We start from the raw sequence: 26,780 nt of genomic DNA, 5'->3' as shown, positions 1-26,780 counted from the left end.
CTCCTGGGTGAGAACTGAGCCCCACAGAGGCAGAGTCCCTTACTTGCAATCACCCAGGAGGAGTATGGCACAGCTGAGGTCCCAACACCATCTGCCCTGTGGGGTGACCAAGGCAGAGGACGGAAACTCAGGTCACAGCCTTTTACCAGCAGAGCAACAGCTGTGGGCAGAGGTGAGCATCCCTTGCTTCCTTTAAAGCTCGTGGACTCTCGTGCTTCTTCCTGGAGGCAGGGACTCCAGTATCCCAGATGGGCTTGGAAGGATAATCCAGGCAGGACCCCCAGGTGTGGGATCTGCATTACCAGCATCACACATGCTGGCACACACACAGCTAGCAGTGCCCCAGACGCCTAAGACCAGGTTTCCCTGGGCATCGGGAAGGTGTGTGGAGAAGGTCCCGTCCTCCACCTGGGGCCTGTCGGCCACACTGAGCTGCAGGGGAGGGAACACCATCAGCAGCCAGGCCCGGGTTCCAGTCTCAGGTCCTTTATTTCCCCACTCTGTAACCTTGGGTGGTCCCTGGCCTGAGCCTGGGCTTCCTCACCTGTAACTCCTGCACCCATCGCAGGGCCTGGTGGACGGCAGCTGCTCAGCGTGGCCAGGCTGAGCGGATGCGGTGGGCTTGGCACTCCTGAGGCCTGGGATGGCTCTCCTCCTGGCCTGCCCCCACTGCCTGGCCTGCTCAGCCACGGCCTGCTCCGCTGCCGTGGACTCCAGCTGCCCCCCAATGAGGACGCCCGAGAGATGTTCCTGTTCCCACACCACACCCGAGGAGCAGGAAGCCGGGGGTCCCCCGGGAGCAGGCCTCTTCAGAGGCCTTCATTAGTGGCGGGAATGTTTATGCAGCACACGCCACTGAAATTGGCCAAGGAGCTGCCCAGCTCGGCTCAGGCAGTTCACTTTACACCTCAGTGAGTCAGGGGGAGAAAATCCAGCCGCTAGGGGGTTGTGGGGCATGGGGTGGACCTGGGCCGGGGTGGGGGGTGATGAGAACCATGAGGCTGGTGCCGTCTTACCCGACGGGTCTGTGAGGGGCTGGCAGTGGCTTTTCTGGGCCAGGAAGGAAAGGAAGGAAGCAGATGTTGCAGAGGGGGAGGCTGAGCTGCAATGAAGTCTCACCAAGGCCTCCGCAACCCCATGGGGGTCTCGGGAGCTGGGACAGCCCTTCAGAATGGTTCTAAGTATGGCCGAAGGGGGTGGCCTTTATGCTGTCACACTGACCAGTCACTGGATGTGGGCTGCCCCCCGAGAAGGCATGGCCATGTGCAGCTTTCTTCAGCCAACTCAGTCCCAGAGGCCTGAGAGCTGAGGGTGGTGGACTGGCAGCACTAGCCCTTCTAGCTACCAGCATTCACGACAGGCTGGCCCTGACTGCTCAGAATCACCTCTTCACATGCCTTCTGGGACCACTTCTTCAGGATTCTGGTGGCCTCTCTTCCTAACAGGAACACAGAAGAGGAAGGTAAATGGACAAACTCTAGCCCTTCTGCTGCAGCTGGCCTTAGGGCTGCAAGTGACCTTCATTATCTTCCTTCTCTACTGTCTAAGTTCCCTTCAGCCTCAGCTTGCACTCTGCTCACCTCCATGGCTTACCTATGGGTTACCTTTATCTATAACATGGCAGAGATGGGAGCAAGAACACAGCCCCATCACAAGACTGTAAATGTATACTATTGTCCATTCCAGGTCAATGCAAATTGTCTTCTAGCCTCTTTCAAAAAGAATGCAATGGCCCTATACCATGCACCCAAAGCCATATGAATCTGCTAACAAATTGCATCTGGCACAGAAACTGCAGTTGGGGCAACTACATTGTTGAGTTTGTATTAATCTACTGCCATTGTTCAAGATCCCTCAGATTTTTCTGGAGCCAGGCCAGAAAATTAAATGGAGATATGCTGGGACTACCACCCTTGCATCCTTTAGGTCTTTAAAGATGATGTTCATTTGTGCCATTCCCCTGTTAGTGATGTTATTTTTAGTTTACTCTCTTGACCCAGGTGGGGGAAGATAGTTTCAGACAAGGCCAAGGTGAGGGTTGTAAGAAGCAGGGAAGTAACTACTGGGTAGGTCCACAGACCCAAGGGACTCATGGGGACCCCACCTGGGTCAGGACCCAACTTATTATGTAGGCTTCACAGGCCTCATTCTAACAGGATCATTCAGTCTCTGGTGTCAGAGTCACTTTAAACTCCGTGTCCACAGTCTCCAAATGGTTGGGCATTCTCCCTTCCCCAGTGTAAAGATACTCAGATAAGTCGCCTTAGATTCATACGGGGAAGATCCGGGGAGCTACTACCACGTACACGTGTGGTGGTCCAGGGTCCTTCCTCCTGGGGACTGGCTGCACCTTCAGTCAATGGATCCTGGTCTAAAAACTGTCTCAGGATCAGAAATTGGGCCAAGAATTGTGACCTTTAATTGGGGCCACTGTCTTCAGTATCCTGATGGCCCATTCTTGATTTCTTTTCATGGTGCAGACTGTGCCTGACTCTCATTGGCTGCCCACCCATTTTGCCCATGTTCTATTGGCTAGATTAACTGTTTGCATGGCCCCCCGGCTGCCAGTCTGACCTTGCTGCTCATTACAGTCGTTGTTTCCCCTGGCTTCAGTGGTGAAGCGCAGCCCTCTTCCCTCTCTTGTTTCAGGACCCTCTTAGCTTCTTTGCTGCCAGTGAGCCTGGCTGAAAGGGTATCTCCCCAGTGAGTCCCAGCTTATACAGGACAGCCGCTGCTGAGCTTCTCAGGGGTGCTGGTTCCTTCCTGGGTACTTTGGTAAATGGTGCATCTTCCAGGTCCTCCCATGGAAAGTAGCTGTCCGGCGGACGTTTCGGCCTTCTGCGTTGTACCCGTGATAACACGCCCACATCTCTGAACCTTTTGCTCAATCCTCCCACCATCTGCCACAGCAATTCTGGCATCGACACCTCCCTTAGTGTGGGCTGCCACTTTCTCCGTGCTTCTCGGTGCCATTCTGCCAGTGTGTCTGTACCATCCCCCATGCTGCTCGCCAGGGTGTTCTATCCCACACCCTAGGAAAGTGCTCCCAGAGCGAGAAACTCCCTCATCCAACTTTATGTCCCACTCCCGTGGCCAGCACCTCAGAATCCAGTCCTGTGCTGGCCAAGTGTCAAATCCTCTGCAGTCCGGTCCCCTCCCCTTTCCACCGTGATCCTGGAGGAGCTATGCTGCGCCCTGACCTCCAGGCCAGGAGGGTCGGTGGAGGGGAGTGTTGAGGGGGTGCCTGCTGTCCTGTAGTGAGGAGAATTCTGCAAGCAGTGACGTTTGCCCTTCGCAGGGACAAGTGGGCGACTTTTGTAGGCTCCAGGAGTGCAGGGGATTCTGGGAATTTGCATCAACTCAGAAGTCACTGTCCCATGTGTCAGGGACTTAATGGTTCTCAACCATGGTCTTGACCTTGGCAGAGCAGAACTGCCTGGGGCGGAAACTCGGCCTTTGGTATGATTAAGTCCTGTGATCAGCGGCCTGCCAAGGGGGCCTGGTGGCTTTCCCCACACGTGGCCTCTCCTTGCTGGTTAATCACGTCCAGTCAAGCATTGACTGAGCTGTGCAACAGCCACATCCCATTCCCCTCTCCCTACAGCTGCGGTTTCCCCGGATCCCCAAGTATCCCCAGATGCCGGCTGCATCTCACCACCCCCACTCCCCTTCACCAAACACCAGCCCCGTCTGCCCTGGTGAGCATTTCCGTGACTGCAGGTCTTCCTCCCACCAGAGCTTCCTGTGCTCCACCTGGACCCAGCAATAGGGGTCATAGCCAGCTAGGGGGTGGGTGATCAACTCCCCAGTCCCATTTCCATGGCTGTATGCTTAGACCACTCCTGGCACCATGCGTCGCAGGCCGGGCTTCCCGGGAAGCAGACTCCGAAGTGGTGATGGGCTTGACGGCCACCTGCCATCAATTCCCATGGCAGGGCCAGGCAGAGGGAGAGTGAAGGCGGGCCATGGTGCTGTTTCTATGGGATCCTCAGATGACCCCACAGGGAGCTCTACAGCTGGGAAGGCTACCCAGAGTGACCCAGGCCAAGGTGGAGGGCTGGGCCCTTGAGACCCCCCTGCTGGCAGATACTGGCTTTGGCCCCCGCTGGGAAGGGGCATGGTTTGGGTGAGGGAGCCCTCTTCAACCGAGTCACCTTCTGGAGAGGGCCAGCAGCAGAGAGCTGCCACTCAGCTCACCCAGAGGTGGGGGAGGACATTCTTTTCCCAGATGGGGACGCTGGGTGGCTCCCACGGAATTCCACTCCACCACCCCTAGGGCCCTGGAGCCCCCACTGGGTGTCTCCATCACCCTGGTAGGCGGGGGAGAGTGAGAGCAGACCTATGGGTCATTGTTAGGGGTCAGGCTGAAGGGGTGAGCGCATTGCACCAGGTGGCACTCAGCCATAGGGTGCTTTGGGCTATAGGGAAAAGGGAGATGGTTTAATAGAAACTCAGCCAGTCTCTGTCATCCTGCCCAGGATGGGCAAATTGAACTCGTCCCCATGGGCTGGTCTGTTTGGGTGCGAGCTAGAGGCAAGGCCATGTGGATTCACAGTGACCTCAGATGCAGGCCTCCCGGGACACCCTTTCATCCAACATTTCAAGCTTTTCTTGAGACCCCACTCCCCGTATGCCTCACTCTGCCTGAGGGCTCAGGATTCAGGGGGAAGAGGCACATTCCTGCTCTTCTTGGGCTCCCAGCCTGGCAGGGAGGTCGAAGTTCGACTCCCGACCAGAGAGTTGTCACACCTGGGCATGGCCAGGCTGCTGCCAGAAGAGGGGTGGACAGGGAGGTGAACCAGGAGGCCATCCTGCCTACCCCTGAGCATTTGTCCTACAGTCAGAGAGCAAGGAAAGGCAGAAGGAACAGCATATGTGAAGGCTCAGAGGTTGGAAAATCATAGCACAGGGACTGTGAGGCTGGTGAAGGGGCCAGGTGGAGAGGGTGGGGAATATTCAGCTGTGAATCAGAAAGGATGTTCCCGGCTCCCCCCCATGGCTTGTCTCTCTCCACTCTGCCCTGTGCTCTGTGGCTACCAGAGTAACCTTTCCAAGACATGAACCCTGGCTGTGTCACCTCCTACTTGAAGCCCTCCAAGGCTCCCGCTGCTCTCCAGGTAAAGCCCACACTCTGGCACAGATGCCCCACCCCAAGTTTGCCTGTCCACTCTTCCTACAGCCATCTCTCTGCTAGGGCCGGCCTACTCTGTCTTCACTGCCACACATGCTGTGTCGCAGCCCTGCTCACAAGTCACTTCTGCTCACACTGTTGACCTTTGCACCTCTTCTCCTGCCCTCTGGGATTTCCTTCCCTCATTTATTTTCTGACTTACTCCTACTCACTTAGGAGCCACCTCCTCCAGGAAGCCTTCCTGGATCTTGCACCTCTCCTCTGGTCCCTGTAGCACAGTGCTCGGCCCTCTGTTATCCTGCAAGATTGCCACTGTCTCTGGCCAGGACTGTCTCCAGCTCTGGGTGGAGCCTCCTTGAGCAAAGGTGAGGGGCACAGGCTGGATTCCTCTCTGAGGCTCCTGCCTCCCTCCCGCGGCACGGGGCTGCGCAGCTCACAGCCTGAATGGGAGGGAAATGAGGAGAGGACGGCCTTAAGCTTTGAAAAGACATTTTCCCAAGCAGCTGGCAAGGCCCCCACCCGCTCCGGGGGATTTTCCAATCTGCTCCAGAAAGGCCCCGTTCTGAGTGTATTGGGATCATTCTGGGACACGGCGAGGCCCACTTCCCTGGCCGTAGCCACAAGCAGAGCGCGTCTGAAGTGCGTTCCTCCTGTTCTTCCTTTTAATTGATCAGCAACAGCGTGATGGGAGATGAGGAAAGATTCGCCTTCTGGAGCCTTCCTCTCCTTGTCAGTCTCTGGCTTCCTCCAAGACCGTGTCCCAGAATACATGCCGTCCTTGCATGGCGTGGGGCGGAGCCCTGGCCCTGGTGCCCAGAATCCCAAGAGTTGCAGTGACTGTGAGGGATGGGGGGCGACTGCATCCCAGGGTGGCTGCCCTGCCTGCTCAGTGCGGGGTGCTGGACCTGCATGTCCGTGGGGAGCTGGTGCTGGCTGCTGACAGCCGAGGGGCTGGGGTGGGCGGGGGCAGGGTGGAGAGGGACTTGGTCGGCTGTGGATGCAGCTGGTGCCAATGTGAGGGGCATCTCCTGGGATTTCCAGAGACCGAGCGGAAACTCTTTGCAAAAGGGGTTTGTTCCTTGCTCTGCCTGGCACTGGCTCAGATCTTCTGGGAGTTGTTTTGCTCTTGGTAATTGGTGAGAAGTTTGCTTCTAAAAGTCTGCCCAGAACCCCAAAGTGGAAGCAGGCAGAGGGCCAGTGTGAACAGAGAATCTTCTTTCTCAACACATTTTTAGAGAAGCATGTTTGGGTCTGCTCTTTGGACCTGATGAGTTTGGAACTTGAAGTCGTTTGAGCAGGGCTGGGCAGGGGCTCACCTTTGCCCTGTGGGCCTAATTTGTCCCGGGGCAGGTGACCAGCCTGCGAATCGCAGGCTCTTCTTATCTGTGCACAAGACCAGCCCCTCTGGGTCACTGGCTTGGCTGGGTCCTGGTGCTGAGTAGAGGAGGAGGGGCCGGCCTGGGCTCTCCTGCGGTCAGTTGGAATCCAGTGCCCTTTGCGAAGTGCTCAGCCAGTGTAGAATCACACACATTGCCTGGCCAGTCCAGCTCTGCCCTCTGACCTGAGCTCAGCTGGTTCCTGCTCTGCCCGGTTAGCCACCACCCAGCCAGTCTGCCGTGCAAGGAGCGGGGCGCTTTACAGAGGAGGGAGGGAAGTGAGGTCTCCAGCAGCCCCTGTGGCATGGCAGTGGGGTATTGCCTGGACAGCAAGGTCCCAGGAGAACAGTTTCCTGAGCCTCTGGCAGCCACACAGGCCATGGCCTCTTCTTGCCGGGTGATGGCATCTAGTTCTCTGCCCTGCTGGGCCTCAGTTTCCACATCTGTCAAATGGGGAGAAGATTGGACTCATTGTCCTTTAAAGTTTGGTCCTACTCCACAATTTGGTCATGGGATTCTCTCTGTCTCAGTTTCCTACCTGTAAAAGGAGATAATCGGGAAGCCACTTTAGAAAAGGAGTGTGACGTTTTATTTGCAGATCCTGGTAGCTCAGAGAGGACCAAATTAGAAAATGGTGAAAAGGGGGCAGGAGGGTTGTTTCTAGCCCTCGTGCGAGGAGCAAGGGCCCAGCCAGCGGGGCTGCTGCAACGGCCATGGTTATATAACCTCTCACTTGGAGACAGAGCCCAGGAGCAACGTGTGTCCCCAGCCCCGGGGGAAGCTGGAACCCTCTCCTGGGTGCCGGTGGCAGCCTCTGTACCAAGCTGTTTACCCACAGCCCTCACCCACCCCCGGAAGGGCGGGGCCTGTCTGCACTTTGGAGCATCTCTCCCTGCTAGATCCTCTGAGACTCTTGGATCTCCCCAGGGGTGGGTAGACTGGCCACACTCTGGTTCTGCCTATGCTCATGTTTGGCATGGGAGGCTCTGCAGTTCATGGTTTGTAATATATTCCAGAGCCTCGCTGAATATATCACAACCCTGGCCAGAGTGGAGCTGGCAGAGCACAGGTGTCCGGTGACTGTCCGTGGGGGCCACCCCCGGGGTCGCGGCTCTCCCGCATCTTAGGCAACAGTAACGGTGGCGACCCTGGTTGAGCCTAGACCTCACAAGGCCAGCCAGCTGCCGGCTCTGCCAAGGGCTGTCTGTGGATTGCTGTCCTCCATCTCCAAGCCTGCTGTGGAGGGAGATGAGTGACTGGGGCCTGGGGACCTTCAGTAACCTGCCTGTGAGGGATGGAGCCGGGAGGCCATCCCAGCCACCTGACACCAGGGACTGAGCTGGCCGCCCTCCTCCCTCCTGAGTTCCCAAAGTAAGGTAGGCCTGGTGGGTCCCAAGGCCACGTTGAGGTGCGTGGATGGGCCTTTTGCATAGTTACATATTTGTTTTCACGTTTATTAGAAAAAAAAAATAGCCTAGCAAATCTGATTTCACTGAGAATATTGCCTAGAAAAAGGCCAAGGTTTAAAAAGTGGCAGTATTTAGGATTGAATCTAAGAGAAATATGAAGTAAAAAGTGGTCTAGAGTGGAGGATGGCCGAAAATCAGCCAAGCCCTGTACAAGGCCAGCTGCGTTGGCCCCAGCCGCCTGCAGCCTTGGGCTCCACTGGCGCTCACGTGTCCCTGCACCTCCTCTCTCAATGCCCCCTCCCAGACCCCAACCTCCTGCCAGCTCTCCACACCCCATTCTGTCTTGGGGAAAACTCTCCAAGGGATGATGTGCACGGAGTCCCCCCCGTCTGCGAGACCCTCTGCAGCCAGGCCCCGACTCCCTCCTCCCCCGCGGCCGCACTCTCAGCGGATCTGGTGTGGCCTCTCTTGAAGAGGATGCAGCGGCCTCTTCTTCCGGCCTTGACACAGGAGGTGGCTTGTTCTCGGGACTTCTGGCTCCCACACTCATGTGGCCTCCCTTTCCCTCTCTGGCTGCTCCCCACAGGCTCTTTTGAGGCCCCCTCCCTTTCTAGCAACCTCTAAGCGTGGGCGCTGTGAGAGGCCCGCCCAGACACGCCTCTGTGGCACTCTTCCTCTCAGCTGACTCCATTGCCTCCCTCGGTATTCACTGCCAGCTATAGCCTGAGAGTTCCCCCTAGACCCCCACACCATCTTCTGAAACCCACCTGCCTACTCGGTATCGCCCCCTGGTTACCTCCCAGCATCTTGGACTGAGCTCGCCCGAGCTGAGCGCTGACCTGCCTCTCCCAGCTGGCCCTTCCACTAGCGTTCTCTGCTGCCACGTCCATGGCGCCAACTCAGCCCCAGCTGCTCAAGCCAAGGTTAGGGCTCAGCCCCGGGGTCTTCCTCACGCTCCTCTGCATCTGTCGTGTCCGTATCCAGAACATGTCTGGGATCTCTCTGCTTCTCTCCATCTCTGGCATCACCCAGCTGTAAGCACCACTGTCTCTCACTCTTCAGAGGCCCGACCGTCCCCTTCAATCCACTTGGGTACAGCGGCCACAGTTGCTTTGAAAGACACACGTCGGACCAAATCACTGCCCTGTTCAATGCCCTCCTGTCCAGTAGCCCCCATCCTCCTGGGATACAGTCCAGCCTCCTCCATGGGGCCAACAAGGTTGCCCTGCTCGGGCTCCTGATACAGAACCACAGAGACAGCTGTGCCGAATCTGTTGCCAGGTGTGTGACCTAGGTTGAGTGTTCATGTCCCTAACCCTTGGTGATGGGATGTGCCATCCAGGCCTCCAGCACAGTGGCCCAGCCTCAGCAACCCAGGCTCCTTCCCTCTTGTGGCTCTGCAGCTCTCAGTGTGACTTCCACCACTGGACCTGAGATGCTGTTCCAGCTCCTGCTGCCCCCGGGAGGAGGAGAGGGCACAACAGGGGCACTGGACATTGTCCTTCTGCTCATATCCGGTGCACAAATATCACCATGCCGTCGCACCAGGCTGCCCAGGTGGCAGGGAGAGATGATCTCGGCTGGGCAGGTGTGGGGTCAGCCAACTTGGGTTGGAAGGAGGAGAGAAAAGAGCAAGAGGCCGGCCAGAATTCCTCTGCGGGAAAGAAATTGCCTCTGCCCTGAGGACTCTCCCTGAGCCCCAGTGCCTGTCTATAAAGTGGGCAGACCCTCTTCGTAAGGTGGTGTGAGGATCCAATGAGGGGGCAGACAGGGAGTGCCCGGCAGGTAATCAGGTGCCTATCCACACATTACTCTCCTCTTTCCTGTCCCTGCTGCAGCCACCTTGGGTTTGGCATCTGTGGCTTATGGATCCTGGGCGTGGCTTTGGATCAGCACTTAGTAGGGCCGGGCAAAGGTGGCTCCTGGGCATCCCCCTGGATGCCTTTTCTGTGCCGGGGCTTTGGCACACAAGGAGCTTGGGGGCCTAGGGAGACGAGGCTGGCAGGGGTAGGCGCAGTTGGTGCGTGGCAAACCGAACCTGTCAATTCCAGAAGCTTTTGGCACATTGTTGAAGCGACTAGATGACTTTGAGAAGTGTCTGCATGTTTTTTCCCCAAGTGCAGTTATTTTTGCTGCTGTGAAATGTTCTGAAATCTGACAGTTTTGTTTTGAGTCTTAGCCCGATGGGAAGACGGAAAGGAACACTGCCTCCCAGTTCTGTGGCACCCGCTTCTCGGGGTCTCCTGAGGACACCCAGATCCTGGCAGAGGTGGCCAAGGAGAAGCCAGGGGACCAAGGTTTCCAGGGGGGAGTGTGGAGTAAGCTAGGCCACGGAGCCCCTGGATTCCCTCGGAGCACGAGACCCAAGGACCCACTGCGTGCCAGGCCCTCGTCTGCTGAGCATGTATTGAGTACCTGTTACATTCATTTGTCAGACATAGACTATGCACCTACTACATGACAGGTTCCTGTGCACTGAGGATTTATTGAGCACCTGCTATGTTCATTCATCAGATGCAGACTGTGCACCTACTTCATGCCAAGCCCTCACCCACCAGGCATTTACTAAGCACCTACTGCACAGTGCAGGGCTGTTGGAGGGCTCTCCGCAGAGGAGTGATGAGGTCGCTTTCTGTGTTTCATGGCAGGGAGACAGGTGGGGAGGCTACTGAAGGAACAGAGACCCTGGAAGATAGAATGACAACTCTGACATGGTTCCTGCTCTGCTGGAGCCCGTGGCCCAGGAGGGAATGGTGCTGAAGATGGGGAGATCCGAGTGGCCCTACTGTGAGACCCCAATAGGGGACTGGATGTGGTCAGCCCTGCCTTGCTGCTGCTCCATCATCTGTCCAGCTCCTCGTCCTCTTCCCAATGCCACTGCTTTCCAGGGCTTGGCCAGAGACCTCTCTGCTTCCCATCCAAGCCTAGATGCCTCCTTCTAGTTGATGTCTTCACAGGTACCTGAGCCTCCATGGCTGCACACTGCTGTCTCCAGGCCCCTCTCTTTTGGTCACCTCACCTCGTCTCGGGCACCTCTGGCACCTCGGACTTTGCATGTCCCTGATAAGCTTTTCTTATTCCCCCCCGTAGCTGCCAGGCTCGGCTTGGGTCCCCCCATCAGGCCTCTCCCTGGTGCTTCTAGATGGCAGCATCTCAGATGCTTTCTGACTCGGGGTTCCTGGGACCCTGAGCACTCGGCCGTGCTGGTAGCCAGCTGAGTGCCAGGCCCTGTGCCAAGTGCCTGGCCCACACCACCTCGTTTCATTCCAGCCACCACCCCAAATGGCAGCAACGGCTGTGAGCTCCATTTCTATGGATGATAAAAGTGAGGCACAGATGAATCAATTATCTGAGGATCCCAGCTTGTCCAGTATTTCGTGAAAGAACCGAACCCAAAAAGCAAATCATCCACCCAGCAGGTGAGAGCTGGGGGAGTCGGGCTCCAGCAGCAGTAACTTCATCCGTGTGTAAACCTGTGTCAGTTTCACAGAGCGCCTCCTGCATCGCTATGGAGACTGACGCTGCAGCCTTGTCCTCTGCGAGGGAGACATAAGGAGTGGCAGAAATCACACGACAGTTTATTCCTGGTTAAAGATATACAAAACCCAAAAAACCCTCAAACCACGCAGGGTCCCCTCCCTCCCCAGCCTGTGCTTTGGGACCTACGCGTAGCAGACACTGTTGCCGTATTGGTTAGATCACGGGGCTGGCCGCCGTAACAGAGATCCCAGTGCGACTCTGAGCATAACAAGGAAGGGTCTCTTCTTTCTTCCGACATGAGTCGTGTAGGGCTGAAGCGGCAGCTCCTTGGAGTTTGGGGCTCAGGCTCCTTTGATCACAGCACTGCTGCCCTGGTGCACCTCCCACCTTGTAGCTCGAGAAGGAAGAAGGCTCTGTCTGCCTTCAGTCCCACTGTGTAGCCAGCAGAAAAGGGAGAAGAGAGCTTGGGATGTGTGGCTCTTTCCTTAAGGGGCTGTTTGTTCCAGATCCCATCCCATCCACAGTCACCTCAAGCTTCAAGGGAGGCTGGGGACATCACCTTATGGATGGTTCTGGGCCTTCATAAAATGTCATGGGTCCTGTTACTAAAGAAGGAAGGGCCAGATGGATATGGGGGGATGCCTAACAATCTACATCGTGTCCACCCCCTTGGGCCCCCTGCCCCGATATACACACAGACCCTCTCTTTGGGCTCTAAAGACACTCAGCTCCTTGACATGGGGTTGGCCCTGCAGTCCCTCCCCTGTGTCCAGCTCCGAGTCCAGGATCTGTGGGGGACGTGCAGTCCCCTCATCCTGGCTGAGGCAGTGCCTTGGGAGCAGGGAGCCACAAACTCTGAACATAAAAGGCAGTGGTCTGCAGCCCCTCTTCATAGATGATGCTGGGACAGGAGCAGCAGGACTGCTACAGAAACAGGCCCTGGAAGAGAGAGGAAGGGCCAAGGCCACAGTCACTGTCCATGGCTATGACTGTGCCCAGCTGGGCGGGCATCAGCAGCTCAACCTCCATCACACATTTCTGGCTTATGTGGGTTTGGGGAGTCCAGGGATTTTTTTAGTGGGGGGAAATGTAAAAAAAAACAAGAACAAAAAACCCCACGCTTTTGAAAGCCACACTTCTGGTTTATTTGGCAATAGAATGTCCTCTAAAATGTCATAGGCTCCTGGTCTATTTGCACCTGGTCAGTTCCATGTTGCACATGGACTCACCTAAAGATCTTGTCTAGAGCTGGATTTTTGTGCTTAAAAAGTCTTTTTTTAATTTTTTTATTTCCAAGCCTCTGTTCTTGGCCCATCTTCTTCTCGCTCATTTAATGGTAACTCCCGGGTAGCGAGTTGAACCAGCAGGCTTGGGCGGGAGGACAGCAGCACCTCTACAGATGATGGCTCCTGGGCTGGCTGCCCTTGCCCGGCTAAGAGCTGTGTATGGGAGGCGCTTAGACGTTGGAGCCTGCCTCTTATCTCCTACAGAGCCATCTTTGTAGCTCTCCTGTATCACTTCCTAAAAGAAGCAAGTGGCAGCCAACACACACCTACATTCTGAGTTTTCAAAACCAGTTCTAGAGTTCCAGGGCTGTCAGGATGTGGTCTGACTTCTAAGCACCACAGGGAATGTTTCTATGAAAGGATTTCCACGGTGCAACAAGGGTCGACAACTGTCCCTCAGAAAATCTGTGTCCTGGACTACGGAAGCCCTGGTCTGTGGAGCCCACATCATGGAGTTTTGGTTTGGTTGAGGCAAAACCTGTAATAGCCAAGAAAGGCGCTTGGCTGCAGAGCAAAGACTCCCCCCAGCTAGGGGCTCGCACATGATGGAAGTGTATTTCTCTCTCACGTAACATTAGAAACACGAGGAGTTCAGGATGATGTGGCAACACCAAGACCATGGGAGCCTGGAAGCCATCTAGCCTGCTGCACTGCTCTCCTCAACAAGGAACTCTGAGCTCGCGGCGTAAGATGGTTGCTGCATCTCCCTCCATCCCATGCGCGTTCCAGTCAGGGCCACGCTGAGAAAAGGAAGTGGAGGCAATACCCCTGTCCCTTCCTTTTAGGTCTAGGGCCTGGAATGTGTACATGCTGGTCCACTCATACTCCATGGTGAGGAGGGATCTAGGGCTCAAAGAAGTCCAGCCACTTGAGTGTGAGTGTATGTGTGTGCGTGTGCGTGTGCGTGTGCGTGTGCGTGTGCATGGCCTTCGGGAGCGTGTGCTGCTGTTTGGACACTAAATGTCCTGCTCCAGCCCAAGGCCACGTGGCTTCAGAGGGGTGGAACTGGGCTCCAACCCAGGTCTGCTGGCTCCTCTGTCCTCCAGCCCAGTTTTTTTTTTTTTTCTCACTAGGCAGCTCCTGGGAAAGAGGCAGGTCTGCGGAGGGAGGTGAGGACTTCATTCTAACTGTGAAATGACTGCGTTCAGAATTGGGAATCCAGAGCTGGGAACGAGCTGCTGACCTGCTCCGGGCATTTGTGGCCATTCGCCTTGAGGGCCAGGACGCCTGCATCAGAGCAGCTGGGCCTGACCCTGGGAGCGAGGCCTCCCTGGGTGAGACTGACAAGCCCCTCTGGCCATCCTTGTGGGGTCCCTGAGCCTTCACTTTCCTGCCCTGTCTTGCTCTGATGTTTACTGCTGTGTGGGCCTCAGTGGTTTTACCCATAACACGGAATGAAACATTTTGTCTAGGTAATGGAAAAGTTGCTTTGGGAAATCAAGATGGGATCGTGGAGGTGAACAGGTGTGAGCTGGAAGGTGCTCACCAGGTGCTTGTGTGCTGTGCTCGGCTGAACCAGGGCCCACAGATCTTGCATGGAAAGATAATCCTGGATCCTCTGACAGGTCCAGTGTTGCCCCCAAGGTCCTCATAGGGAAAGAGAGAGGCGGGGGGGTGGGGGTGGGGCACAGAGAGCAGGAGATGCGCCCGTAGATGTGCAGAGGTGGCAGTGATGTGCCGTGAGGATGGAGGAAGGGGCCATGAGCCAAGGAGTGCAGGCGCCTCTAGAGCTGGAGAAGGCAAGGAGATGGACTCTGCCCTGGCACCTCCAGAAACCACCAGTCCAGCTCACACTGATTTTCGCCCACTGAGGCCATCCCAGTCTCCTCACTTCCAGAACTGGGAGATCTTAAATGTATGTTGTTTTAAGCAACCAAGTTCGTAGTGATGTGTTATGACAGCAACAGGAGACTCCTGTGTGTGGGGTGGAGTGGGAGGTGAGCAGGCTGAGATGGAGACGGTGCGAGGGCCGAGGTGGGAAGGAAACCCACGAGGAAAGGCCCAGAAAGGTGCAGGCTCTTTGCTGGATGGTGAGTAGCCTCTCAGACCAGTGTGTGGACACATAGGGAGGGCTGGAGGATGAGGCTGGCCAGGAAGGCTGGGCATGCTGATGGGGCCCAGAACACCCTCTTGAAGGCCTTGGACTTAATTTGGAAGGCCTGGGAGCCCCTGAGAGTTACTGAACAAGAGAGACCTAATAGGAGGGCGGTGTTCAGGCCCACGGGGGTGCATCGAGGCCTGAAAATGACAGGTCCTCTGAAAGTAACAGGGAAACACAGCTTTACGCATTGTCAGTGCTTGCGGCCACAGCACTGTGCAAAGTTCTCCTTGGATCACGGTGCCTGTCAAGATGTACAGTGTGTGCAAGGCTGTGGAGCGAACCTTCGGTCAGCAAGCCCAGGGCGCCAAGCAGCAATGGGAAATCAAAGGGAAAGAAATGAAACTTTTATTAGCAAAATGCTTTCCGAGACATGCCACAAGTCTTCGTCCAGTTCTCTCTGGTTTTTATTGGGTCAAAGGTGCAAGACTCTTTGAAAACTGACTTGGGAACGGTTGCTGGGAATTTTAAAGCGTGGCTCAGCCAAGATGCACAATAAAAAGAAATGTGTGACCGTGAAAGAGACACATTCAAAATCGCATGTTTTTCGTCTTCAGTGTTCACGGAAACATGCCCATTAGCGGGGGTGGGAGGGTGGGGGTGGGGAGGCACGGGGGAATACAGCAAAGGACTCTTCAGAAGAGGATTTCTGCGTGCTGCAAAGATACCACCCTGGAAAACCATGTGTAGAGACGTGCTTCCAACTGCCCCACTGATAGTTTCAGATCCTGCAGGGACGAGAGAGAGAAAAAAAATCGGAATATTGCCAGGATGGTATTTGAATAAACAGTGTGGACAGCTGCTCTTCCCTGCCGGAGCCAAAGAAATTCTGTTGTTGTCCATGAAGAAAATGCATTTGACGAGGCACCCGTTAGCTAGGAGCTGAGCCGCCCTTGCTAGAGGACTCCAGGGGCCTTTGAGCTTCACCTTGAGCACTCTCCTTTCAGCTGACGGCTCTCCCTCTGCAGTCTGAGGAGCTGCACAGCTTCAGCCCCCCACCCCCTGTATTTGGGGTTCTTTATTTCCTCTTCTTAGAGAAAGTGCTAATTGTTCATGGAAGTGACAAGCGGTTCCCCTTGGAGCTGCTGCCTGGCTTGTATCCTAGGTGAGGATGTGTGAGGTGGGAGGGTCTGATGGCCCCTGAATGTGGGGGTAGGAGGTGGCCGATGGGGAGATGCAAGACACACAGCCCCGGAGTCCTGGGGAGGGGCCACTTGGAAGACTGGGGTCTCTGGTCTGGGTTACAAAGGTCAGAGCTGTACAAAGGGTCCCCAAATGATGCAACAATCAGATTACTTCCTTTGGAGTGATCTGAAGTGTGAGAGCCTAGTTTCTCCATCGGCACAGTGCCTGGGGATTAATTAGTTTAATTGGTCCCTGCGTTAGGCCAAATAGTCAGTGTCAAAAGAGAAAAGCAAAAGATACTTTCCCATTTGGGAAGACAAAAACTGCCCCTGCTAATGGCTGAGGGTGGTAATGACAACAAAAAGCCTTTCTGGAGTTGACTCGAATGGCCTGGGAAGGCGGCTGGACCCTGTCACGGACCCCTGCCGCATACCAAGCAGAAGCGTGGAGCCCGCTGGGAAGGACGGCTGGGCTCGGTGAAGCCCCCGCCGGGAGTGGGTGCTGGCCACGGTGCCACGCCGGCTCTGCAGAAGCATCTCGGGCCAGTAGAGCTCTGTTATCAGGGGGTTCTGCCCTCCCCCGTCATGAACACCCCCAACCTCATCTGCAGGGAGGAGCAAACAGGCCCGGCGGGCCAGCCTGTCCTGGCTGGACAGGGCTGGGGCTCACCCTGAACTCCTATTTGCTTGCGTTACTTGTCGTGGGGCTGGGGCCTGATGGGCTGTGGTTAAGATGCAGGGGGACAAGTCCAGCGCGATGGAGGAGGGGCCAGACTCCACAGGGGAAGGCCTGGCCAGCAACAGGACCCTGGCTAGTCACGTGGAGGCTTGGGGCGCACCCACTGTCTGATGTGTAAATCGGTGCCCACTCACCCCTGCAGCCTCTGCATGCTGTTGTTATGCTGATGCTCTTGGAAGCTCTTTGTCACAACAGTCAAGGGCGGCATGTGTGGGGGACAGTGTGCGGTCCCAGCAGAGCTGTGACTGGTGACTGAATCGCAGGGAGACCTGAGGAGTGGTCCCGGTGCATTTTCTGAATTAAGGAGGGTTGACAACGTAGGATTAGAAAAAGTGTTTGGGGAACAAAACACATAATTACTTTAAAAACCAAACTGGTGGAAAATATTTATCTTTGCTGCTTTACAAACAGTGGCCTCTGGCCAGATGAAGTGGGGCCAGGTACACAGTGACTTTGGCCCATGGAGCTCAGAGGGTAAAAGAGAAAGGCGGTTCCACTGTGAATGCTTCTTCTGCAAAACCACTTTGGAGAGTCATGGACCAGGGCCTGTCTTTCGGTTTGTTTTTGTTGTTGTTGGTTTGTTTGCCTTTTACCTTTTTCTTTAACATACACACACACACACATGCACACACACACACACACAATTGTGGTAAAATATACATAACAGTTACTATTTTAACCTTTTTTATTTTTGAGACAGGGTTTCACTCTGTTAACCAGGCTGGAGTGCAGTGGTGTGATCATGGCTTACTGCAGCCTCACCCTCCTGAGCTCAAGTGATCCTCCCACCTCAGCTTCCCAAATAGCTGAGACTACAGGTGTGTACCACCATGCCCAGATACATTTTTAAATTTGTTGTAGAGATGGAGTTTCACTGTGTTGCCCAGGCCAGCCTTGAACTCCTGGGCTCAAGCAACTCTCCCGCCTTGGCCTCTCAAAGAGCTGGAATTACAAGCATGAGTCACTGCGCCCAGCCCCTTTGTAACATTTTTAAGTGTGGCATTGAGTACCCTCACATTGTTGTACAATCATCCCCACCATCTGACTCCAGAACTTTTTATCTTGCCAAACGGAAGCTCTGCCCATCAAACAACAATTCCCATTCCCTGTTCCCCACATGGCTCCATGAATTTGACCCCTCCAGGTACCTCGTGTAAATGGGATCTACAGGATTTGTCTATTTGTGTCTGGCTTATTTCACTTGGCATAACGTCCTCAGGGTTCATCCATGTTGTAGCAAGCGTCAGAATTTCCTTGTTTTTAAAGGCTGAGTAGTATTCCGGGAGGCCTTTGGTTTTATTCTGTGGAGTGATTGCAGTGGGGAATTCAGAGAGCAAGGGGTTGGCCCTGACCCAGCGCCCCTCCCTACAGCCTGCCCTGCTGGGATGGAGTGACTGCGATCAGCTCTGTGGGAGGACTGAGGAGCACTTCTAATTTCAGTAGCTGGAAACGGAATTCCTCAGGGCCAGAATGAGGGTGAGGAGAGTGAGGCACTTGCCTTGGGCCCAAAACTAAACCCAGTAATCTAGAAAAATCATAGGTTACTGCAGTATTTAAGAATCGAAATCCAGAATGACCAAAATATCACAATTTTAAATAAAGACAGAATCAGTCTCAGTGGTGTCCCCCTTGGTCTTAGGCTCCAATATGGCTCAGCATGGCGCTCATCTTGTCTTTATCTAAAATTTTGATTTTTTTCATCATGGGTGTTTTGCATTACTTTTGTATTAAATTGTGGTAAAACACGCACAACATAAAATTCAGTTTTAACCATTTTTAGGTGTGCATCAAGAATGTTCGCAATGTGTGCAACCATCCCTACTATCCATTTCCAGAACTTTCCATCTTCCCAAACTGAAACTCGGTGCAATTAACCAACTGCCCACTACTGCCTCCCCTGCCAGCCCCTGGTAACCTCTGCTTTACTTTCTGTCTCTATGAATTTGACTATTCTAGGTCCCTCATATAAATGGAATTGTACAGTATTTGTCGTTTTTTGATTGGCTTATTTCACGGAACATAATTTCCTTAGGATTTATCCGTGTGGCAGTGCATGTCATTATTTCATTTCCTTTTAGGGCTGGATAACACTCCATTGTGTGAAGAAACCACATTTCGTTGATTGGGTTTGTTTCCACCTTTTGAGTCTTACGAATAATGCTGCTGTGATAACATGAGCATGCAAGTATTCATTTGAGTCCCTGATGTTTGATGTTTTCTTTTGGGTATTGGGAATTGCTGTATGACAAGGTAATTCTAGGTTTTTTTTTTAGATGGAGTCTCGCTCTGTCACCCAGGCTGGAGTGCAGTGGCACGATCTTGGCTCACTGCAACCTCTGCCTCCCAGGTTCAAGCAGTTCTCCTGCCTCAGCCTCCCGAGTAGCTGGGATTACAGGCATGTGCCACCATGCCTGGCTAATTTTTGTATTTTTAGTAGAGACAGCGTTTCATCATGCAACTTTTTGATGAATCACAACACTGATTTCCACAGTGCTTACACGATTTTGCTTTCTCATCCGTAATGGACAAGGGGTCCCATGTCTCCACATCCTGGCCAGCCCTCATTCTCTGTGTGTATTCACCAATTTATGACAGCCATCAGGAATGAGTATGAGGTGGGATCTCAGTTTGGTTTTGATTTGCATTTCCCTAAGGACTAATGATATGGAAGATCTTTTCATGGGCTTATTGGTCATGTGTATAGCATTTTTGGAGAAGTGTCTGTTCAGGTCCTTCACCCATTTTTGAATCAAGTTGCTAATTTTTTGTTGTTGAGTTACATTTGTGTCACTTAAATAAAATGTTTAAATGTGTATTTTTAAGAGCAGTTTTCGGTTCATAGCGAAATTGAGAGGAAGGAACAGATTTCCCATAGACGCCCACCCCCACACCTGAACAGTCTCCCCCATAACCAACTCTTGCACTCAGTGAGCCTGCACTGACACAGCGTGATCACCTGGAGCCCAGGGTTCACCGTAGGGCCCACTCTTGCTGTTTTACATTCCATGGGTTTGGACAAATGTGTCCCAGCAGGTATCCACCATTTTCACATTACTTTTGATTTTTAAAAATATTGGTTAAAATGTGACATCTTCATCACTGAGACTTTTTTCCAGCGCCGTCTTAAATTTTGTGAGTCCTGGCCCTGCTCTTCGTGGGGAGGAAAATTTCTGGGTAACCACTCTGGAAGGGGAGGGTGATCCCCTTAGCATGGGGTCCTGGAGGGGTAGGGTGGGGGCTGGGAAGGTCGGGGCCGCGGAGTCCTCAGGGCTGCGATGCGGAGCCCTTCCTGCTGCCTTCAGTGCGGACTGTGCTGCAGCGTGGGCCTTCTGAGGGGCTTCTCAAGGAAAGGAAGGAAAGGGTTTGAGTTCCACGCTGGGGCCAAAGCCTGGGAGATGCGGAGGAACCACTGTGAGTGGGGCACTGAGGCTGCTGAGGATGCCCAGGCGACCTTGGGAGCTTCCCAGGGAGGCTGGGGTGGGGGCCAGGCCCACCGAGATCCTCCGAGGAGGAGGTCCAGCAGCGAGGGGGCCCCGCCCCTGCCTTATGGCCGTGGGTGGCTGCAGCATCCTGGGCCGGTGGGTCTTCTTGAGAGTCCTTAGCCCCAAGCTCCGACGGCTCCTCCTTCCCTTCCTGTTCAGGGCAGCAGGTGGCTCACCCACTGTGCAGCAATGTCCGGAGGAGGCGGGGTGCTGTCCTACTCTCTACGGAGCGGGGAATCACAGGCCCCCGCAGGAATCCAGCACCATTAACACAGAGCTCTCACCAGCCACTGGCGAGGTCCAGTTTGCTCAGGCTCTCAGACAGCGTTTTAAGAGGTAGGGTTGTTGGGTCATTCATAATACATCAGTTGGCCCTTATTCTGAAAGAAAGAAGTGCCTTTTCCCAGTGGCCCAGCTGCAATACATGTGGCTTCCTAAGGTGCACGAGGGCATGTGCTGTTAAGCCCGTTTATTAGAGCTGGGGAAACAGGCATTTACATTGGTTGCCAGCTGTCCATCCAACACCTGTGATGATGCTGCACCTCCAGGGAGAAAAGCAAGGCGAGATCACACGCTGTGTGCCCAAGTTGGGAGATTTCCCTACTCCTCATCCTGTGACGAGATTGTGTCTGTGTCACCTTATAGGAGTAAGCCTGCTGTGAGGCTTTTTCTCTCTCCCGGAAGGACCTCAGCTCCACCTCCACCTGGAAGGCCCTAATCATTGCATGATTGGATTAAAGGGTTGATTGGCGCCTTCTCGCCAAGCACGCGGCAAAGCGCGCTCTCAAGTGGCTGCGTAGATCCGTCAGGGTGCTCAGCTGCAAGTGATAGAAGACTCCACGGAACTTGGGGCAAGCAACAATAACATTAGAGAGCAATGTGTTGAGCCAGGCGTGGTGGCCCATGCCTGTAATCCCAGCACTTTGGGAGGCAGAGGTGGGAGGATCGCTTGAACTCAGGGGTTCGGGACCAGCCTGGGCAACATAGCCAGACCTCACCAATCCAAAAAAAAAAAAAAAAAAAAAGAGAGAGAAAAAAGAGCAATATGTTGACTCACAAAAACTGACCAACTGACCATCACATTTCAGGCCTGATGGATCCACAACTCCCTGTCTCCTTCTGTAAGATTCTCACTCCTTTTTCCTGCCCAGATCTTCCGTCTGGGATCACTTTCTTTCTTCCTGAAATGCATCCATTTCAAAAGTCCTTTTGTGAGAGTTGTTGGTGGGACAGTCTCTCCTTTTGTGTTTATCTAAAAATATCTTTATTTTACCTTTCTCCTTGAAATACAGTTTCACCAGGTATATGTCCAGATTGACTATTGTTTTCTTAGGCACCTTGAGGATGTCCTCCCGCAGTTGTCCTGTGACTCACTGTCTAGTCTGTTCACTTTCCTCCCTGCAACCCCCCGCCCCCAAACCAGTCTCCTTTCTTCTCCAAACCCCACTTCTCCCCAGTCTTCATGCTTAGTAGTAACCTTGCTTCTGGTTCACTGACAAAATAGAATTATTCAGAAGGGATCTTCTGCAGATGCCACCTACCTGAATCCTGCACCAAGTGCTGCAAGTGACAAGCCCCTTTCCTAAGGCAGGCCCTCGCCTTGTGCGCTGGATCCAGGCCCCCCCACCTGCTTAGTGGCATCCCACAGCCCATCTTCCTCTGGTTCCCACACTTTCCCTCAATTTCCCACATTCCTGTCAGCCTTGAGACCTGCTGTTGGGCTAAGTTTGGGTTCCCCAGAAACAGATTCTGAGACAGGATTCCAATGGAAGTGGTTTATTTGGGGGTGCGGGGAAGGGAAGTGTCTTGGGTGGGGTTCAACTCGGAGTTGTGTGTACTTGCTGGGGAGAGAGAGGAGCAGGATTGAGCAGCCGGAGGAGTTCAACAGTAGTACAGCTGCAACCAGAATCTTGGCGGAGCCCACAGAGATCCCTGGACTTGGGGTGGCCATGCCAAGGTGTCCTGAATTGAGGCCAGGGGGCAGGCGTTTGCATCCACGTGGATCAGTCATTGGATATTCCCATGCTAGCTACCGTCCCAATTTTTCTCCTCTTTGTAGAGCACAGCTTCATTAAGGAGTAAGTCTGTAGTCTCTGTCTCCCATTCCTTTTCCTCCTTTTTCTTTACCCCAAAGTCAGGCTCTTAGCGACATGATTCTACCAGGGACCACCACGCTGTCAGACCCAGCGGTTGTCTACTATGCCCTGTTCTTCTTGACCTACAAAGCTGCTGCAGTCCATCCTCCTTTCTGACATGCACTGTTCTGCTTCAGGACTCAAAGCCCTCCTGGTCCTCGGCCCTTGACTCCTCCTTGACTCCTCCTTGACTGCTCCTTCTGTCTCCTTTGAGCCCTCCTGGTCCTCCATGCCCCAGCCTCTCAGTGTTAGATTTTGTTCTTTCTCTTTATCCTACACTCACCCCAAATTTATATCTCCAACCCTAAACTCTGCACAAGCTCAGGAATTGTATATTTAAAGTCCCAGCTTGACATTTCCACGTGTGTGTGCCTCGTAGACATTTAAGCTCATGCCTCCAAACAATTCCCCAATAGCCCCAGACGTGTTCCACCCACAGACTGCAGCATCTCAATGGATGGCAACGAGATTATTCTAGTTGCTCAGACCCAAACCTTGTATCATCTTGACTTTTTTCTTCTTTTCTCCTTCCTTCCTTCCTTCCTTTCTCCTTTCCTTCCTTCCTTCTTTCTTTCTTTCTTTTCTTTCTTTCTTTCTTTCTTTCTTTCTTTCTTTCTTTCTTTCTTTCTTTCTTTCTTTCTTTCTCTCTCTCTCTCTCTCTCTCTCTCTCTTTCTTTCTTTCTTTCTTTTTTTTTTTTATGGAGTCTCGCTCTGTCACCCAGGCTGGAGTGCAGTGGTACGATCTCGCCTCACTGCAAGCTCCGCCTCCCGGGTTCATGCCATTCTCCTGCCTCAGCCTCCTGAGTAGCTTGGACTACAAGCGTCCCCCACCACGCCTGGCTAATTTTTTGTGTTTTTAGTGGAGATAGGGTTTCACCATGTTAGCCAGGATGGTCTCGATCTCCTGACCTCGTGATCCGCCCGCCTCGGCCTCCCAAAGTGTCTTGTTTCCTTACATCCAATCTATCAGGGATTTCTGTAAGCTTTGCATTCAAAATGTTACCATTCATTTTGAACCCAACCATTCATTTTCTGGATGGCTGTGATGCGATAGCCCCCTAGGAAGTCTCCTTGCTTCTGCCCTTGCACTCCTATTGTCTGTTCTCAGTTCAGAAGCCAGAGTGTTTCTTTTCAATTGTCAGTTTCTTTTCAATTGTCAGCTCAAAACCATGTGGTGGGACAGATGTCTGCTCCCAACCATGATGATGGAGCAACAGGGGCTGCACTGACCTTCCTCTTTACACTGGGCAAGAGAGACAAACAACTGCGCTCCCAGGAGGAGATAAGCGGGAGATAGGAAGGAGCCCTTTCTTTGCCTGACTTTCTGCTTGGAGGTTTCCATGCTGCTGTGTGGGACTCGGGGTGGGGGTGGGAAGCTAAGCAGAGCACTGAGGCTTCTCCAGGGGGGTCACCAAAAGCCGGGGGTCATACTTACAAAAAGGAAAGATCTTTGCAAAAAAGAGCTACAGAATAGGAGCAAAGGGGTCCTCTTTAATCTTTGCTGAATACCAAAAAAAAAAAAAAAAAAAGCCTGAGTCAGGTAAAACTCACCAGGTCAGTCAAAGAGTAATTCACTGGAGCTGCGTTGAACTGTTCGTTCATAAAGTCCATGTGGAGATGGGATCGTTCAAGTTCTCAATTGCAATTGCAGTTCAGAATTCCTTCTTGCTGATCACCGGGCATTCGGTAGACACCTTAGAAGAGCCACACTTTAGCAGTGGGCCCAAACTATCTCTAGAACAAAGGATCCTCTAGACCTGTCCTATAAAGCTAAAAACGAGCCTAGAAAGTGTGTAACTGAACTGGAAGTAACTAAACTGCCAAGCAGGACAAACCCCAAAGCTCCTTAAAAGAGGATGGCAAATTACAGACACTCAACAATGAAACATTCACAACATTCAGCATCTGATCAAAATCCATGTGCCAAAAAGCCAGAAAATGTGAACCACAGCCAGGGAATAAGGCCGTCAATAGAAACAGACCAAAGGATGATACGAACAACGGAAATGCCGGGCAACAATGTTAAAAACAATTATTATAACTATGTTCAAGTACTTAAATGAAAAGATAACCATAGTGAGAAAATAAATGGAAGATATAAAAAGAAACTATGTGGAACTGGTAGAGCTATGTCTAAAATGCAAATTTCACTGGATAAGCTTGACAGCTGGTTCAAAGACTAGTGAACTTGAAGACATAGTTCTATAAGTGATCTGAGACACAGCACACAGAGAAAAGAGACTGGAAAACAATAAACAGATTCGCAGTGACTATGGGGCAATAGTAAGTCATCTAAGGTATGGAAAAATTGAAGTCTTCGAAAGCAAGGAGAGGACAAAAAATGTTTTAAGATATAATGGATGAAAAATTTCCAAATTTGAAGAAAACCATAAATCTATAAATCCAAGAAGTGCAATGAAGACCAAGCAGGATAAATACAAAGAAAACCACAGCAAGCCACATCATAAGCAGTTTTCTGAAACCGGCGTTAAGGAGAAAATCCTAGAAGCAGCCAGAGAAAAATGAGACGTGTAACATACACAGGAACATGGTGAAAATGAAAACAGTATTCTTTTTGGAAACAATGTAAGCCAGAAGTCAATGGGGTAACATCTCAAAAGAAGTGCAAGAAAGAAGCTGTTAATCTAGAACTCTGTATCCTACGAAAATATCTTTTAAAAATGAAGGCAAAATAAACATTTTAAGACGTCATCAGACTTGTACTACCAGAAATGTTAAAGAACGTTCTTCAAGCATAAAGAAAACAATACCAGATAGAAACCCGGCTCTCTGAAAAGGAATGAAGACTGTGAGAATGGCAATTATGTAGATAAACACAAAAAAGTTTTTTAAACAAATAAAAGCCCACTTAAAGAATGGTTATTTGTAGGCAGTGTGGTGGTTCACACCTGTTATCCTAACGCTTTGGGAGGCTGAGCTGGGCAGATTGCTTGAACCCGGAAGTTCCAGACTAGCCTGGGCAACATGGCAAAACCCCATCTCTACAAAAATACATAAAATAAAATAAAGTAAAAAATAGCAGAGCATGGTGGTGTGCCTGCCTGTAGTCCCAGATACTTAGGAGGTTGAGGTGGGAGTATCATCTGAGTCTGCGAAAGTCAAGGCTGCAATGAGCCATGATCATGCCACTGTACTCCAGCCTGGGTGACAGAGTGAGATCCTGTCTCACAAAAAAAAAAAAAAAAAAAAGACTGGTTATTGGTAATGATATTTGTGGCAGTGGCATTCTGGTGGTTCATAAACATTTTAAAAACTTGATTAAATATTTTAAAATAACAGATGTGATGCATGTTCATTTTATTCTAAACCCTTCCAACCTATTACCTGAAGGAAACTATATATATATATATATATATATATATATATATATATATATATATATATATATATATATATAGAATATTATAAATTGGTGTTTTACATGAACTGTTTACATTATTGTGCTACATGCATTTAAAAATATCTATTAAAAGACTTTTTTCTCGCTTTTTAATGTCTTTAAAAGACAATTGACTGTTTTAAACAGAATGTCAACCATGTACTTTGGGCTTACGATATATTAAAAAGTAATATCTATGACAACAAAAACATGAAGGATGGGTGGGGTAAGATTGAAATATACTGTAGCAGGAATATGACATCATACATGAAGTGATAATATAATATCAATTGAAGGTAGATTGTGATAAATTAAATATGTATATTTTAAATAATGGAGCAAACACTAAAAATTAGAACAAAGAGATAGTTTGTTAGATACTAGTGAAGAAATAAAATCCTAAAAACATACTCAATTAAACTTAAAGAAGCAAGGAAAAAAGAGAAAAAGGAACAGAGAGCAGATAGGATAAATAAAAAACAAATAGCTAGATGGTAAACTTAAATCCAATGATACTGATTAATTGTATTAAACGTAAAAGTCTAAACTCTCCAATAAAAGGCAGAGATTGTGACACTGGATAAAAAAACAAGGTTCACTTTCCTGTTGTCTGTAAGAAACTCATTTTAAATATGCATAAATAAATTGCATGTCTATATACTAACAAAGAACAGTTGGTGATTGAAATAAAAAATAATACCATATGATAAACCATATACTCAAAAACCAAAAGGATCATGGGTACTGAAAGGACACAGGAACCAATTTGAAAGAGCTCCCAATGGCCAAAGCTGGAACAATTTGAGCAACAAAATAAATAGTAATAATATTGGATTATAACCAAAATAATAAAATCTTTTCCTCAGGTTATTTTACATATATACACACACACATATACATAATAAATATATAATTTTTATATTTTACATTATAAAAATAATGTGCAATATATAATATTAAATTATAAGTATCAATAAATAAATGGGAGAAAAGGAACAACACCTCATTAAAGAAGAATTCCTATTAACAAATGTAGAAGAAATGAGGAAAATAGAAAAATCATTGAAATTCCACAGCAATAATTGCTGGAGGCAAGTTAAACACCAAATACTAAAATTAG

General features: G+C 51.4%; 2 annotated features.

Annotated features, from left to right (window-relative positions):
- Window positions 5,191–6,171: an enhancer, noted in NCBI's record as "H3K4me1 hESC enhancer chr14:101973238-101974218 (GRCh37/hg19 assembly coordinates)". NCBI's record gives its function as "activates a minimal SCP1, AML or CMV promoter by ChIP-STARR-seq in naive H9 embryonic stem cells {active_cell/tissue: H9 hESC(naive)}" and the evidence as "EXISTENCE:reporter gene assay evidence [ECO:0000049][PMID:30033119]".
- Window positions 16,475–17,063: an enhancer, noted in NCBI's record as "H3K27ac-H3K4me1 hESC enhancer chr14:101962346-101962934 (GRCh37/hg19 assembly coordinates)". NCBI's record gives its function as "activates a minimal SCP1, AML or CMV promoter by ChIP-STARR-seq in primed H9 embryonic stem cells {active_cell/tissue: H9 hESC(primed)}" and the evidence as "EXISTENCE:reporter gene assay evidence [ECO:0000049][PMID:30033119]".

The sequence above is a fragment of the Homo sapiens genome, chromosome 14, assembly GCF_000001405.40.
Source record: "Homo sapiens chromosome 14, GRCh38.p14 Primary Assembly".
In the NCBI taxonomy this organism is placed as follows: domain Eukaryota; kingdom Metazoa; phylum Chordata; class Mammalia; order Primates; family Hominidae; genus Homo; species Homo sapiens.
This window is presented reverse-complemented; position numbering and strand designations above follow the sequence as displayed.